Source organism: Homo sapiens, chromosome 11 (genome assembly GCF_000001405.40).
Source record: "Homo sapiens chromosome 11, GRCh38.p14 Primary Assembly".
NCBI classification, from domain to species: domain Eukaryota; kingdom Metazoa; phylum Chordata; class Mammalia; order Primates; family Hominidae; genus Homo; species Homo sapiens.
The window spans coordinates 89,035,950-89,051,877 of record NC_000011.10 but is presented as its reverse complement, the minus strand read 5'-3'; the positions used below and the strand labels follow the sequence as shown (position 1 = coordinate 89,051,877).

General features: G+C 36.1%; 1 protein-coding gene across 4 annotated transcripts in view; it reads left to right on the top strand.

Moving 5' to 3' along the window:
* Positions 1-15,928, top strand: part of GRM5 (glutamate metabotropic receptor 5) — a 561,341-nt gene that overhangs the window by 14,105 nt on the left and 531,308 nt on the right. For all 4 annotated transcript variants that reach the window (NM_001384268.1, NM_001143831.3, NM_000842.5 and 1 more), the window contains exon 2: positions 3,806-4,666. In NM_001384268.1, coding sequence (NP_001371197.1) covers positions 4,006-4,666 — 661 coding nt within the window. In that variant the 5' untranslated portion in view covers positions 3,806-4,005. The remainder of the gene's footprint in view (positions 1-3,805; positions 4,667-15,928) is intronic.

Sequence of the window (15,928 nt, the reverse complement as noted above, 5' to 3'; positions counted from 1 at the left end):
TTTCTTGCTAGATTATTACAGGTTTCTTTATAAGATTTCTTCAATTGATTATCCAGGAAAATGAGCAGCCAGAATAATCCTTTCTAAGATTGAATTGTTCCAGTCATTTGCTTAAATCTCCTCAATGGCTTTCTGTTGTAATTAACATTATTATTATTATCTTTTCTTGAGACGGAGTATCACTCTTTCACCCAGGCTGGAGTGCAGTGGCACAATCTTGGTTCACTGCATCCTCCTCCTCCCAGGTTCAAGCGATTCTCCTGCCTCAGCCTCCTGAGTAGCTGGGATTACAGGCGTGCACCACCACATCCAGCTAATTTTTCTCTTTTTGGTAGAGACGGGGTTTCACCATGTTGGTCAGGCTGGTCTTGAAAGCCTGACCTCAAGTGAACTGCCCGCCTCGGCCTCCCAAAGTGCTGGGATTACAGGCGTGAGCCACCGCGCCTGGCCAACATTAAATTTTTTTTATAAGAGCCTGCAACATCCTGCATGGCCTGGACCTTTCTTGCCTTTCCATCTTCAGCTTGTATCATCATGCCTCCCATGTTCTTCATGTTGTAGGCATATTTTTTACGTGACTGCCTTTATTTCATTCTTCTGTATATTTTTCTTTTTCTTTTTTGTGAGACGGAGTCTCTCTGCCGCCCAGGCTGGAGTGCAGTGGCGCAATCTCCACTCACTGCAAGCCCTGCCTCTCGGGTTCACGCCATTCTCCTGCTTCAGCCTCCCGAGTAGCTGGGACTATCTTTTCTTTTTTTAACTTTAATTTTAAGTATTTAAAATTAAAAATTCAGGGGCACATGTGCAGGTTTGTTACATAAACTGGTGTCATGGGGATTTGTTGTACGTATTATTTCATCACCCATGTATGAAGTCAAGTATTCACCGGTTATCTTTCCTGATCCTCTGTCTCCTCCCACCCTCCAGCAGGCCCCAGAGTATGTTGTTCCCCACTATGTATACATGTGTTCTCATCATTCACCTCTGATTTACATGTGAGAACCTGCAGTATTTGGTTTTCTGTCCCTGTGTTAACTTGCTAAGGTTAATGGCCTCCAGCTCCATCCATGTCCATGCAGAAAACATGATCTCATTTTTTATGGCTGTATAGTATTCCGTGGTGTATATGTACCACATTTTCTTTATCCAGTCTATCACTGATGGGCATTTAAGTTGATTTTATGTTTTTGCTATTGTGAGTAATGTTGCAATGAGCATGTGTCTTTATAATGGAATGATTTATATTCCTTTGGGTATATAGCCAGTAATGGGATTGCAGGGTTGAATAGAATTTCTGCAGTGGGAGTATAAATTAGTTCAATCATTGTGGAAGTCAGCGTGGTGATTCCTCAAAGACCTAAAGACAGAAATACCATTTGATCTTTATTTTTCTTTGTATTCACCAGGTTTCAGCTAAAGTTACCCTTTAGAATACAAATATGTAAGGCCCACAAGTATAGGGAGCTTGTATATTTTGCTCATACTTGAATATTCAATTCCCAGGACAGAATTATAGCATATACATACCATAAATATTTGTTAAGTGAGTTAATGAATAGATGGGGCATGTTAGGTGCTCAATGAAAGATAATAATGATACTTACCAATGTATATTATTACAGTTCTTTGTTACACTAGTCTCTTTCACTGAATAGTTAATAATTTTTTGTTAAATAAGTAACAAACTTCGCATACCTTCAAAAGGCAATATCTTAGTGTTTTAACATGTATACTGTATCTCAATATGTAGGGGTTTCATAAAACAACTTAAATGAATAAAATGCATGGGATTGATATTTCAGCCACACGAGCCTGACAGGACACCAGGTCTCTCATATCACTTTGATGTTCTTACATAAAAAATGAGTCGTGTTTTGTTATTTGTTCACTCGCTAACATTCTGATTTAATAAGAAATTGTGCTTTCTTTAACTTTAGATATTTCTTTTTGTCTGCAGCAGAATTCACATGACCATGAGAATAATTATTTTAAGCTTGGGTCTAAGGAAAGTGAAAGAAAGGTTTGGTAATATTCAAATGACTTGCCAATGAAAAATCTAACAGTCTTCATTTCTTCCTCTGTATCTACAATGCCAACTTTTGTACCAAAACTATTTTTTTCTATATATTCCCAAATGTCTAGTTATTCTGGAACATCTGGTTATTTGATGAAATATTAAAAAGTTTAGCTTTTGTCACTGTACATAGGAAGACTTTCTCTGTTGCCATAGGAAACAGTAGAAGGAAATAGTGAAAATGATGGTAGGAGTGATTAGAAACATGATTCAAGTTACATTCATTTTGTGTCTGGACTTAACTTTTTGTAGATTTGATGACCTTTGAAACCATTAGTATTCTTGTAAAAGTGCGATATTTACATACATTCCTGAAGAAACATCACCTGTATTTGAAAGTTGGTGCTTAGAAAGTTAGTCACTTTAAAATAATTTGAGATCCTTGGCTGGCAAAGTTGATAACAAAGTAAGTCTCTTACACAATTCCCCTAAGTGATCAAATCACTAATTTGTCAATTCTCTTTTACAAATTATGCTAGAATTTGCCATGGAAAATTTGGGACAAAATTTCTTTCTTCCCAGGAATTTAAATTGAAATAGATGATGACATTCATAGCTATACTAAATTTCTACCTGGCAGAATAGTTCCAAACATACATCCTTTTAGCCTTTGAGCCTTAGTGATGTGGAATGTTTTTCTGGATCAGGGCTAGAGGACTGATTACTGTGAAATGTATTGCAAGACTGTGTAATTACTTTGAAGACTCTCTGGAGGACCAAGTAGGTTGCCAGAGAATTTTCTGTCTTCATGACCTAGCCACAAAATGCCCTTGAAAATTTAATAACAACAAGATGTTGTTTTGAATATATATAGCACTTTTTAACTTGTAAAGCGTTTATTTCGTTGATATCTTGTATTGATTCCCATAAGGGACAGCCTAGCACATAGTATCCCCATTTTTCAGGTGAGCAAATTCTGGTACCAAGAGGTTAAACAGTTTACTAATACTTCTTAATATAAGAACAGGGATTGAAATGTGAATATTCTTTTCTCTAAAAATTGGTGCTAATTTGACTCTTCCTTGCAGCCTATTTGGGGGATGTTGTACTCTATAATTCCCCAACCTTTTCCTTTCTCTTCTACAGTTTATTTAACATGAAACACCCACCTTTCTTCATTTGTTTTTATTATATCTTCCACATTAATTAGACAATACTTATTTATTCCTGAGAAGATTATTCAACTTGCTTGACATTGTATTTGGAGAGAGAATATGTGAGGTATTTTTGAAAAGATAATTTTATTTTTGTAATTGCATAATTAATTACATGCTCAAGGCTAAAGATTTCAAAAGAAAAGAAAGCCTAATGAAAATTTAACAACAGTTATCCACACTTTCATTACCAAGAGATCACCAATGTTTAATATTCTGGGGTGCATACTTCTTGAAGTTTTCTGTTCATGGCGTAGTTTTGCTTCTAGGATGCTCTGTCATCTCTGCCTGAGATTACAATACAGTTCTGCCTGCCACACTCAAGATTTAGTTTTGTGTATTGCAGGTGAACAAAAAAAGACTATTAATCTAAGCAAGGCAGGGTCAAGAAGCTACATCAGCTGCTTCATCAAATCACAAAGGAAGCAGACAAAGGAAAGTCAGAAACGTTTTTGAATTTTTTTTCTTCGTTATCTGCATCATCAAAATATTTTCTCTGCTAACATGGATTATAGAACTTCCCCAAACTAGTTGCATTTATGTTTGTTAAAGACCCATGTTATTTTTTTTTTTTCAGGTTTAGAAGATCATGACCACATGGATCATCTAACTAAATGGTACATGGGGACAAAATGGTCCTTTAGAAAATACATCTGAATTGCTGGCTAATTTCTTGATTTGCGACTCAACGTAGGACATCGCTTGTTCGTAGCTATCAGAACCCTCCTGAATTTTCCCCACCATGCTATCTTTATTGGCTTGAACTCCTTTCCTAAAATGGTCCTTCTGTTGATCCTGTCAGTCTTACTTTTGAAAGAAGATGTCCGTGGGAGTGCACAGTCCAGTGAGAGGAGGGTGGTGGCTCACATGCCGGGTGACATCATTATTGGAGCTCTCTTTTCTGTTCATCACCAGCCTACTGTGGACAAAGTTCATGAGAGGAAGTGTGGGGCGGTCCGTGAACAGTATGGCATTCAGAGAGTGGAGGCCATGCTGCATACCCTGGAAAGGATCAATTCAGACCCCACACTCTTGCCCAACATCACACTGGGCTGTGAGATAAGGGACTCCTGCTGGCATTCGGCTGTGGCCCTAGAGCAGAGCATTGAGTTCATAAGAGATTCCCTCATTTCTTCAGAAGAGGAAGAAGGCTTGGTACGCTGTGTGGATGGCTCCTCCTCTTCCTTCCGCTCCAAGAAGCCCATAGTAGGGGTCATTGGGCCTGGCTCCAGTTCTGTAGCCATTCAGGTCCAGAATTTGCTCCAGCTTTTCAACATACCTCAGATTGCTTACTCAGCAACCAGCATGGATCTGAGTGACAAGACTCTGTTCAAATATTTCATGAGGGTTGTGCCTTCAGATGCTCAGCAGGCAAGGGCCATGGTGGACATAGTGAAGAGGTACAACTGGACCTATGTATCAGCCGTGCACACAGAAGGTAAGTTTCCTTTGCATACATCGAGTATATATTATTATGCACTCAACAGTTACAATTTCAGGTTTGGGAAGAGTAAACTATTCCTAATTATTTTGGATATTTTGAATTGTCCGAGTTATACCAGTACTATAAGAACAGACTGGATGGCATATATCTAGAGAGACAAAGACTTAAACTACAGAAGGGTGTATGTGGCCAATATTTGGTGAAATATAATTTTGTTTTCATTGTGAATTACATTATTTACTTCTGCTATACTGATGCTATATTATACTTCTACTCTAATGATTTTTTATATTCATTACTAGAGGTTTTCAAGTCTCTATATCTTCATTGAACACCTCATATTTTTGTCATTTCGCGATTGTTCTAGGTGCCTATTGTTTCTAATAGTTAAAGCAAGGTACACATAAATACACATAGGATTGAAGGTAGTAGCCAGTTCTAACCTAGGTGTGTTGTTATAGAGAATTACCAAAAAGTTTGGTCTTACAGCTATTTTTTCAGAAGAATTCATGGTCAAATCCAAAATGGAGATAAGAATAAATTAATTTTATCCTTGTATAGAACATATTTGAGAAGTATAATTTTAAATAATTCAACATGTTTGTTTTAAAATTTATTGCTTCTTTGTGCTCCAAGAATAGTGAGGAAAGAAAAATCTGACTGATGTTTTATAATAGTTAATAATAAGTAGCCCTTTGTTTTTTATGGTGTTTTAAAAATCATTAGTTCTTGACCATGGCTGTTTGGAAAAAATTTGTTTTGACCTACAGAGGTTGTGACCCAAATGGGCAGACTCGCTTGTTATGCAGCTCTTCTTCTAGAAAAAAAAAAATGTGTATATTAAACACTATAGAATACTGAAGAAGATACAAAATACTTTTTATAAATCATCGAATTATTGTATTTGTTGAGATTCTTAAAATTCTGCATTAACATATCAATATAGTCCAAATATTTCGGTCTGGTAAAATGTGGAATTAAGTTACTAACCCCACTTCAGAGGTTAGGAATATATTTATGCAACACATATTATGCACAAATACATATGCAAGGCTCTCTGACCGTCCTGTGAATGATAGCCCTTTGTTTTCTATATCACAGACTTCAGTGGGATTGCAATCTGGCAAAGGAGATGAGGCATGCACAAATACTTACATAATCATAATTCAAAATGACACAATGTTACAAATCTGACTCTAAAGGAAATTGATGGAGAAAAAAATCACCTCCTCCTCTGTGGTTATGGGGGTCATGGTGGGAATCTTACAGAAGGAAATGGAATTTGACAATTGAAATTTAACAAGAAGAATACTGACAATTGGTGAAAATTAGCAGGGATGGCTTTCAGTGAAAAGCATAAGAAAATATGACTAGGTGAGAAAGTAAAAATGTGCTTGAAAAGGCCAATTGTAAAGGTATGTTTTGGTTTGCATCAAATAAATCATGCATTTTATTAGGGACTCCCTTCTAGCTTCAGAAGATCAGTGCTTGGTCACGGTGTGGCAAGTGCTAATTCAATTGTGCCCCAAGTGAAACTCTTAGTCATGACCTTTGGCTTTTACTAGTTTAAACTGTTGTTTTATCCTAAATTTACCCCAATAACAATCTAATAACCTAATAAAATAAGTTATGATGTATTCAAACAATGCATTATCATTTAGCTATTAAAATAAGTGAGACATTCTACTAGGTAATGATTATAATTTCCAAGATCATCTTAGGTGAATAAAACAAGGGGCATTTCTGTATATATAACATTTTATTTTTTCTAAAAGGGGTTTTTATGCAAACAATTTGATTGGATCTTCATAGAATTGTTCTCAGAGAAGAGCAAAACTACTAAGAGTTGCTGCTTCTGAGAAGAAATCTAAGTTAAGAAATGAGGTGGAATATTTTATGCATAATTTTTATATACATACACTTTAAGCTCTATATTAAATACATAATTTACCTACTGAAATATAACAATTACATGAAAACATTCTATTTGTGGGAAAACAAAAGACAATAGAAATTGCAATGCCAAATTCAGGCAAAATATTTAGGTTGTACCACCAGGATTCAGGAGAGAACAAACCTTGGAATTGGACATTCAAAGGTTGGAAGAAATACTCGTTTGCTTACTGTTTATGTGGTTGTGTCAAGAAATATTTATCTTGCTTTGATCCCAAGCAAGTATGTGAATAACGAGGTTATGTAGTGTTAAGTCTTATGATTTATCAGTACAAGAATGGCATGGTAGGAATTTTCACAAGGTGAAACTCACCTCCAGGATCAGAAAAGTGAGAGTCAAACAGGATACAGCTTTGTTGGGTACTGTGGGAACTCTCTAAGGTCATGCTTTTTTTTTTTTTTCCTCCCCACTTGGTTTTTCAGAAAGTCTTGGTGGGATCTTCCATGAAATGATAGTGTCAGTTATCATCCAGTCTCTTCCTCTCACTGGGTTGAGGTGATTTTCTCTAGCATTAGGAGAATTAATCCCAGTACTTGATAATTTATCTTCATATTCTTATAATTATTCTCCTTTGTTCCATCAATATTCTCTTTCTTGAAGAGTATGGAAATTTCCAAATGCTTTCACATGAACCATTAAGGTCTGTGAAAAGATGTGGTCCTATTTTCAAAAAACATTTTTTCTCCTAATTGCCTATGTGTTTTATACTTAAACCTAACCGTACTGTGTCACGGGTACCACAAGATGTTCCTTCAAGAAAGTGTATGTCATCACAGAATTCCAGAGGAGTGTACAAGGAAAACTGGGTTTCAGCTTCGATGTTAATCTCTTACACTTGCTATTTCCTGTGATTTATGGCTTTAGTAGGCTGTGTGACTGGGTATTTACTGTGGCTTGTTCTATTACACAGAAATTATGCCTGGAACTTCTAGGCAAAGAGATTTATAGTATAAAACAGAAGAAGAAGAAAAAAGAAAGCATTTTTTAAAGAGCAGATCAAACTAGCTCTTCAACTGGGCAGAGGAAAGGAATATGCAATGACTCAGAAGAAAAGTAAAATCACTTCTTTTAATGGAGTAAGAACTCTCTCTGCACTAAGGAAATGTAAAGGGTCCTTTGCCTTAGTACTTTTGCAAACCTTGATACATGTGCCCACGATGACACAGGATTGATGGTGCTTGCCCATTTAGCAGTGTGGCAGATTGCATTGATGACGTCTACTAATGGTGCTTCTGTATTCACATCATTTGCTTTTGACTTGATAATTCCCTTTTACTTTCATGTAGCACTGGCCTTCTGACACTTTGACCAATAGCACTTGGTTGACGTGAGAACTTTCTTCCTAGTTTGTGTTGGAACCCTATTGTCACCCTGTGAAGTATGAGAGCACCCAGGTTTTCCAAATGAGTGCATCTTAGACCAGTTGACCTCAAACATGTGAGAGCGTGCAATGCAGATCAACAAAATTGCCTTTCCAACCCACAGCTAATTGCAATCACATAATTGAGCCCAGCTGAAACCCTCAACATTACCCAGCTGACTATTATTGTTAGCAATAAAAAATGCCTTCAGGATGGAGTCCAGTATAAACATACTCATCCCTCTCACTTTAGTCTCTAACTTCCCTTCTCCCAAATCAGATACTATTGCTTAAACTTCAAAAGCAAAAAAAAAAAAATAACATGCATTAATATTCTTGAAATTCGAATATGAAATAAAACAGAATATATGCTGTGGGCAAGAAAGAATATTTAAAATGCTTTGCCTATACTTCTGTGGCTAGAGATGTGATAGTTCCCTTAAAGTCTGAATGTTTCAAATAGTTAAGCGCTTGAATATATTTCATTATTATATTCTTTACCTTGATCTAGTTCAACTTCATTAAGAAAAGTAATTATTGTATTGTGTTTTATACAAAAAAAAATTTTATATTGTACTTCCTGGGTGATTGACAAGATTTCACACTTCACTAGTTTTCCTGACTTTAGTTGAAAATCTACAGCATATCCACAGGGCCTATTAGAGTGCCCATCATATAATATGTGCTCAAAGACTATTTGCTGAATAGAGGAATTTGTGTTAGTGAAGTACGTAGCTCACCATTTATGACTATATAGTATGTGGATAAATAGCAGGCACTTGTAAGTTTTTAGTTTTGCTTCTTTATAAAAATGAGGTGTCAAAATGACTCCCTTGATTAATTGTAAAATCCTGTTCACGCTACACTTCATTTTCTGTTTTCACTGGTTCTTGAATTTATTATTTCTGTCTAATGACAGGAATGTTAATTTGTTACAGCAAAAAACAAATCAGTGATGTTCTGGGGAGAAAAATGTACCAATAAATTGTACTGGTAGCATACATTATTGAAGATATGGTCTTCAGGTTAACCTAGAGATTGCAATTTCAGGTTATAATATGACTTCCCATCAGTTATTTACTTAAAAATGTGATAACAATCCAGCTTTGATTGAAGGAACTTCAGTATGATTCATAGTCTATATGCTTGTTTGACTTCTAAAAACTGGGAGTACACTTTTCCCATCTCAGCATTTCTACTAATTATCATTACACAAGACAATTTACCTTGGAAAAATAATAAATGGTACTGTGGAAGCTACTGAATAATTTTTAAAAGGACTTTATTTTGTTTCTCCAGGAATTGAACAGTGCTGAGAGTTAAAACAAATTTTGGGATGATCATGGTAATAATAAAGACACATAAATTACTATTCATTCCATAGAATGTTAACACTGTGTCTCAGGCCAGCATTTAATCTTCTGTATTTTACGGTTAAGGAAACTAAAATAGAAAGGTCACATAACTCTACCTTGCTTGTCAGATAATTAGTTGCAGAGTTGTGTCTTGGAACTCAAGATTTCTGTCCAGAACTTGGTTTCCAAAACATTGCTGGAGATTATTAGTCAGGTTCCTTTTTGCCATTTTTCTACCTCTCCATTGCATTGTTTTATTCACTCTCCCTTTATCTCAGTGGCACCAATATTTCTAAACAATTGGCTGAAAGTGTTAATAACTATCTGAAATAGTAGAAGGGACCACAAATGAAATAATTCATCTAAAAATTAGCCTTCACAGGAGAATTGCTTGAACCTGGGAGGTGGAGGTTGCAGTGAGCCAAGATCATGCCATTGCACTCCAGCCTGGGTGACAAAAGCAAAACTGTCTCAAAAAATAAAAATAAAAATTAGCCTTGAGAAATAGCATGATCAATTTGCTCTTGATCTGTAAATTAGATGAAGTGCTCCTTTTCCTGGGTCGTATCGAAGGTTTGCGGAAACTCTGAAAGATTTTCCTTTGCTCCACAAAAATTCTGAAAACATGAGATCCCCAGAAATCTTTGAAATTATGGATTGATTGTATAATTATATTGGTTACCACTGACTTAACAATATATACAATTTAGAAGATGCAGAAACTTTTAGGGGAATTCTTTAGTAAGTTGGATCTGGATCCGTAATCTGGGAAACACAGTGGGCAACTCTAATTGTAAAGAAACAGTTTTTCATATTCATATATCACTGTCAGAAACTTCATTGCTAGCAGTGAAAAAAATACAGATAGCTCTGGAAAGAGCGTTTAGAGGGGCATTCCCTCCTCTTCCCTTCCAGAAGGAACAGTCTATGGACTCAGTAAATAATTTCTAAGAGAGTTATTATTGCCTCTTTCAGAGAAAAATATAGAGCTTGCTGACATATCCACATGTGGTTTGGGCAGTGTTTCTTCTATATTCAGATTCATTTCTAATGATACAATTTCTGGCTTAGACTCTGGCTCACCTATAAGAGACTAATGCCTGGGATAGCTTCCCACCTTCCTCTCTCTTAGGCACCATTGCTGTCATCAATTGCTGAAAATACTAGAAAACTCCCACAAATACTCCATGTCCAGGATGACTAAGCTGAGTTAAAAGGAATTTTGTTTTCAGCGGATTTCACTGCACTGCTCCCCCATAATGCAGAAATATCTCTGGTGATGTGCAATTGTGGACACTTCCACAGTTCTAAATAATCAGATGCTTACCTAAATGTGAAGATCATCTCTTAGGATGTAGCCTATCAGGTATTCAGTATTTACCCATCTTATGGATGGCAGCTGCACACATGCATGTTTTCCCTTGGTCACTCTTATTCCAGATGTCATTAAAACCTTTTAGCTTCTAGGTTTATAGTGTTCAGCCACTTCTGTTGAAGTTGCTTCTGCATAAGGAATGCTGGGGAATGAGAGGGCATGCTGTGAGATGTTTATGTTCCAGTGTACAGCTTGAAACACATAAAACACAGAATGAAAAGCAAATTATGCACAGTAAATTCTGCCCAACATAAACTAAGCAAGCATGTAAGAGAAAGCAAGAATAGAGATCCTCAAAACTCTAGAGGGAGTATCTTGAGAATTTTTTTTCTTCCTTCCCTCCTCCTTTTCTTCCATCCTCCTTCTCTTTCCTTCCTACCTTCCTTTATAACTTCTTACCTTCCTATCCTCCTTCCCTTTTCTTTGTCTCTCTCCCTTTCTCTCTCTCTTTTTTATTCTTTGAGACAGGGTCTCTCTCTATTGCCCAGGCTGAAGAAGAGTGGCATGGTCATAGATCACTGCAGTCTCAACCTCTTGGTCTCAAACGATCCTCCTGGTTCAGCCTCCCAAGTATCTGGGACTACAAGCACATGTGACCACGTGTGAATAATTTTTATTTTTTAATTTTTTGTAGAGATGAGGCCTTATTGTGTTTCTCAGGCTGGTCTCAAACTCCCACCTGCCTTGGCCTCCTGAAGTGCTGGAATTACAGGTGTGAGCTACGACAACCGACATTGTCTTTCTTTCTTATTTATCATTTTTCCTCATCTCTTTTTATCTGGAAGCGTTTTTGTTTTGTTTTGTTTTTGTTTTTGCAGGCTCTTCTGTAAGTCTGGTCATTATCCTGTTAATTTGATAGTGAATAGATAAAATATGATGATTACATTAATGCTATCTTGGAGTTGGAAAAATAAGTTAAAATTACTAACTGTGCTAAAAGTAAGATAACTGACATGAGAACTAAGGATTTTACTCTGTGACTCCAAGAAAGTCACTTCAACTCCTTGCATCTTTTTTTTTTATACAAACAGGCACTACAAAGAATGTTCGTACAGATTTCTTTCAAGACTAAGTTTCTGTGACTTGCTATGCTCAAACTTCTGCAGACTACAGCTGGGCTACATTAAATGTTGGACATAGGGTGGGCAACATAATAAGGCTCTATCTCTACAAAAAGTAAAAAAAAAGAAAGAAAAAGAAAAATTAGCTAGACATGGTGGTGTGCACCCAGCTCCTTGGGAGACTGTGGCAGAGGATCACTTGAGGACAAGAGGTTGAGGCTGAAGTGAGCGAAGTTTGCACCACTGCACTCAGCCTGGGTGACAGGGCAAGACCAATATCAAATGCAACCAAGCAGGGCCTGTTCAAAGGAGAGTAGCCCAAATGGTTATGCAATTTGAAATCATATCCTCAGAATAAATTTAGTAGAGAGAAGACAAGACACAGCAGGGCCCTGACTGCTACCTTTAGGTATCTGATATATTTACATATTTTGTTTATTTAGATATTTGTAAATTCAGGTGGAAAAGAGCTAGGTTCACTCTGGCCAGCAGTTGACAGAGACAGCTAATTACTAAAATACAAGAGTAACAAAGTATGGTTTAATTTAAAAAATTTTTTTTTTGTTTATTAGCAGAACTGTTCAATAAAGGAATTGCCACTCTTAGGAGATAGTGAGTTAGTTCTCTGTAACTCCTTGTGCACAAACCTGCAATGGACAATCACTTGGAGGACTCTGGAAAATGGACTTAAACCTCAGTTGAGGAAAGAACGATGTTGGACTATTTGTTCTTCTGATAATTCCCAATGTTGACAATCAGTTGCCATTGGGATCTTACTACTTTGTGAGTTGAAACATAATCACTTTATATATATATATATATTTTTTTTTTATTTTGAAACGGAGTCTCAGTTTGTCGCCCAGGCTGGAGTGCAGTGGCGCGATCTCGGCTCACTGCAACCTCCGCCTCCCAGGTTCAAGCAACTCTCCTGCCTGAGTCTCCCGAGTAGCTGGGATTACAGGTGCGTGCCACCGTGCCCAGCTAATTTTTTGTATTTTTAGTAGAGAGGGGGTTTCACCATGTTAGTCAGGGTGTTCTTGATCTCCTGACCTCATGATCTGCCTGCCTTGGACTTCCAAAGTGCTGGGATCACAGACGTGAGCCACCGCGCCTGACCATATATACTATATTTTAAATTTGGTTAGTTTGTTTATTTCATAACACAGTCTGATAAGGTAACCATTTTAGTAGAATGGACAAGTAAAGAGTGATTTTTTTCTGCAGCTAAAGTTAGTGGCAGAGCAAGGATTTAGATCCAAAGCCAACTCCTTTGAAACAAATCTAAATCTCATTCCTTTACATTGGAGTAGGTGTGGCTCCAAGGAAAAGTAGGATGGACATCACCTGGTTCTTTTTCCTTCCCTGGGAAACAAAAAACCCTACTTGTTTCTCCACTGAGAGTATCTTTTGAGCATATTTTTGTGTCTTTTTATCTAGCTTTGAAAGCAGCACCTTTCCTTGTTCCCATGGAATGGGTTAATTATAGTGAAAAGAAAACAAATTAAGGAGGAGGCCTGTGGTAACAAGTTGACCTCACAGAAGACCTCTTTGTGAGTCTGATGAAAAGCACAGACTGTGCTTGGTTATTTCTATTTACATCTCCATCACAGGCTCCACACTCTGTCCTTCAGATGCCAATAATAGCAGGAAGCAATATGGTACAGAATTTTTTAAGAGCTGGAGGATATATTGTTAAATAATGTAGCCTTATATATGAAAGGCAATTCTTTGGAATTCATCAGGGTTGTGGGTTATGAAATCTCATTTTGGCACATTTGCAAATACTCCAGAAAGATTTATCAAACATTCAAATGTTGAATTGAGGAGATGTTTTGGCAAGAGGTGTAATAGTCAAATACATTTATTTTAGGGGACTTTGTAATGTGATTTCAGCCCAATGTTACATTTACACATTGATTTTCACACACACACACACACACACACACACAATGAGATTCTAAAGAAAGAGATTATCTAGTCGGTGTTTTTCTTTTTTTTCAAATAGTGGATAACTCATAAGTTATTTGTAAAACCAATTTAGAGGGTTGAAATCAGAATTTAATAGAGAATACATTAAAATAGACTAGAGTAAAATATAAATATCAACATGTATTACATCATAGGTTAGGTATTTTGTAAATTTCACCTTAGTTACACATAGCCATAAATAGCCTGTGGGTTACCATTTAAAATATATTTCTTCTGTGTCTTGAAGCTAAAAAATTAAAAGTTTAAAAGTGACTTACTCTACTTCTCTTTTTCATGTTATTCCTAAATACTTTTCTAGAGAAATGTAACCGATACACATGAATTTATTATTCTGTGACAATGTCATTTAATTTATATTTTCTGGAGTGATGGGTTTTAGGTCTCATTTAAAACGAGCAAAAATTTCAAGGCACCCATGGTAGGAAATGATAGAAGCATTGAACAACTGTCTTTTAGGGCAGGTATTTTTATCTCAATTTGATAATAAGGAAATTAAATTTACTTGTCCAAAGTCCCTCAACTAGCAAGACTATTAATCAGTATTTGTACTCAAATTTGCCTGGGTTCATCCTACTACTTAAATGAGAATTATTTCAAAGGGTGAAAAATCAGATTCCAAGGATATATTTGCAACAAACTGTGAATTTAAGTTATTGCACTGTAGGTTACTCATTGAACAATTATACCAATTATGTAAATAATTGGTATAATTTTGGTAAATGGTATACGCATCAGGATAGGACAATGGAGTGGATACTAGACAAGGAGGTCAGGCGAGTTTCTAGTCCTAGTTTTTATCAATGATAAAGACAGGCTGGGAGCATTTTAATTTTTAATATCCCAATGTAGTACACTAAGAAATAAATGCCAAAAATATTATTATTTTGACATTAAACATTTACATTTAACAAATTAACATTTCTAACTCCCCCCCACACATACACAGAGACATACAGGTACAAGCACATAAAATATAAGGCATTTGTGCCATTTACAAGATAACTTTTTGGCTATATAAACAAGTCATAGTGCACCACATGTGCACTACGTGTAATAAGCCACAAGTTTAAATATATAAAGTGGCAGTCTTCCACTATTCTCTGAGTGTCCCAAAAATTATATGAATAATTTCATTTGATATATACTCAAGTCTAAAATTTAGACTTCTTTTGAGAATGAGAAGCTTGGACCAAATACTATGGGTAAAATATAGTATGATAATATATGAGAGTGTGCTTTTAAAAGTATTATAAAAGTAGTTTAATGAAATAAGTAACCTACAGTGCAATAACTTAAATTCACAGTTTGTTGCAAAAATATCTTTGGAATCTGTTTTTTGACGCTTTGAAATAATTCTCATTTAAGTAGTAGGATGAACCCAGGCAAATTTGAGTACAAATACTGATTAATAGTCTTGCTAGTTGAGGGACTTTGGGGCAAATTTGAGTACAAATACTGATTAATAGTCTTGCCAGTTGAGGGACTTTGGACAAGTACATTTAATTTCCTCATTATCAAATTGAGATAAAAATACCTGCCCTATAAGATTGTTTTGAAAACTAAATATAAAGCACTTAGTATCAAGCTTGGCACACAGAAAACATTCAGTAAGTATCTTCTAAATTTTCCTGCCAAGAACCTGTCTTGCCTTATCTTGGCCTTGAAGAAAAAAACCATAAATGATGTTTCAATTCATCATTGCCCAGTTATAATTGACAACATAATGGAGTGGAGAATTGGTCAGGAAAGTTACCAATATATGTAGTGAATTTTAGACTCTTACTAATTTTCACTTTAGAAGATAAGTTTGCAATTGCACGAAAAAGGTAGGGTGCTTATTGCTTTGGCATAAGTACAAATACACCCCACGCTTTCCTCCTCCAATTGGTGATATATGTTGAGAGGCATTATGCTGTGGTAAGATGAGCAAGGCCTGGACAGTTCCAGAGCTGTGAACATGGTTATCTTTGATGTGAGTGGGTGTAGGAGATGAAACTAGAGGGGATTAAAGATGGAAACTTAACGCTATACTTCAAGTACTTTTGAATTCTTTTTTACATTTTCAACAAGCATAAGCAAATTTTATAGTGAAAAAAATAGGTACAAGCAGTAGATAGATAACTTCTTTGTAAATTTCAAATTGGACATGCTTATGTGCCTTT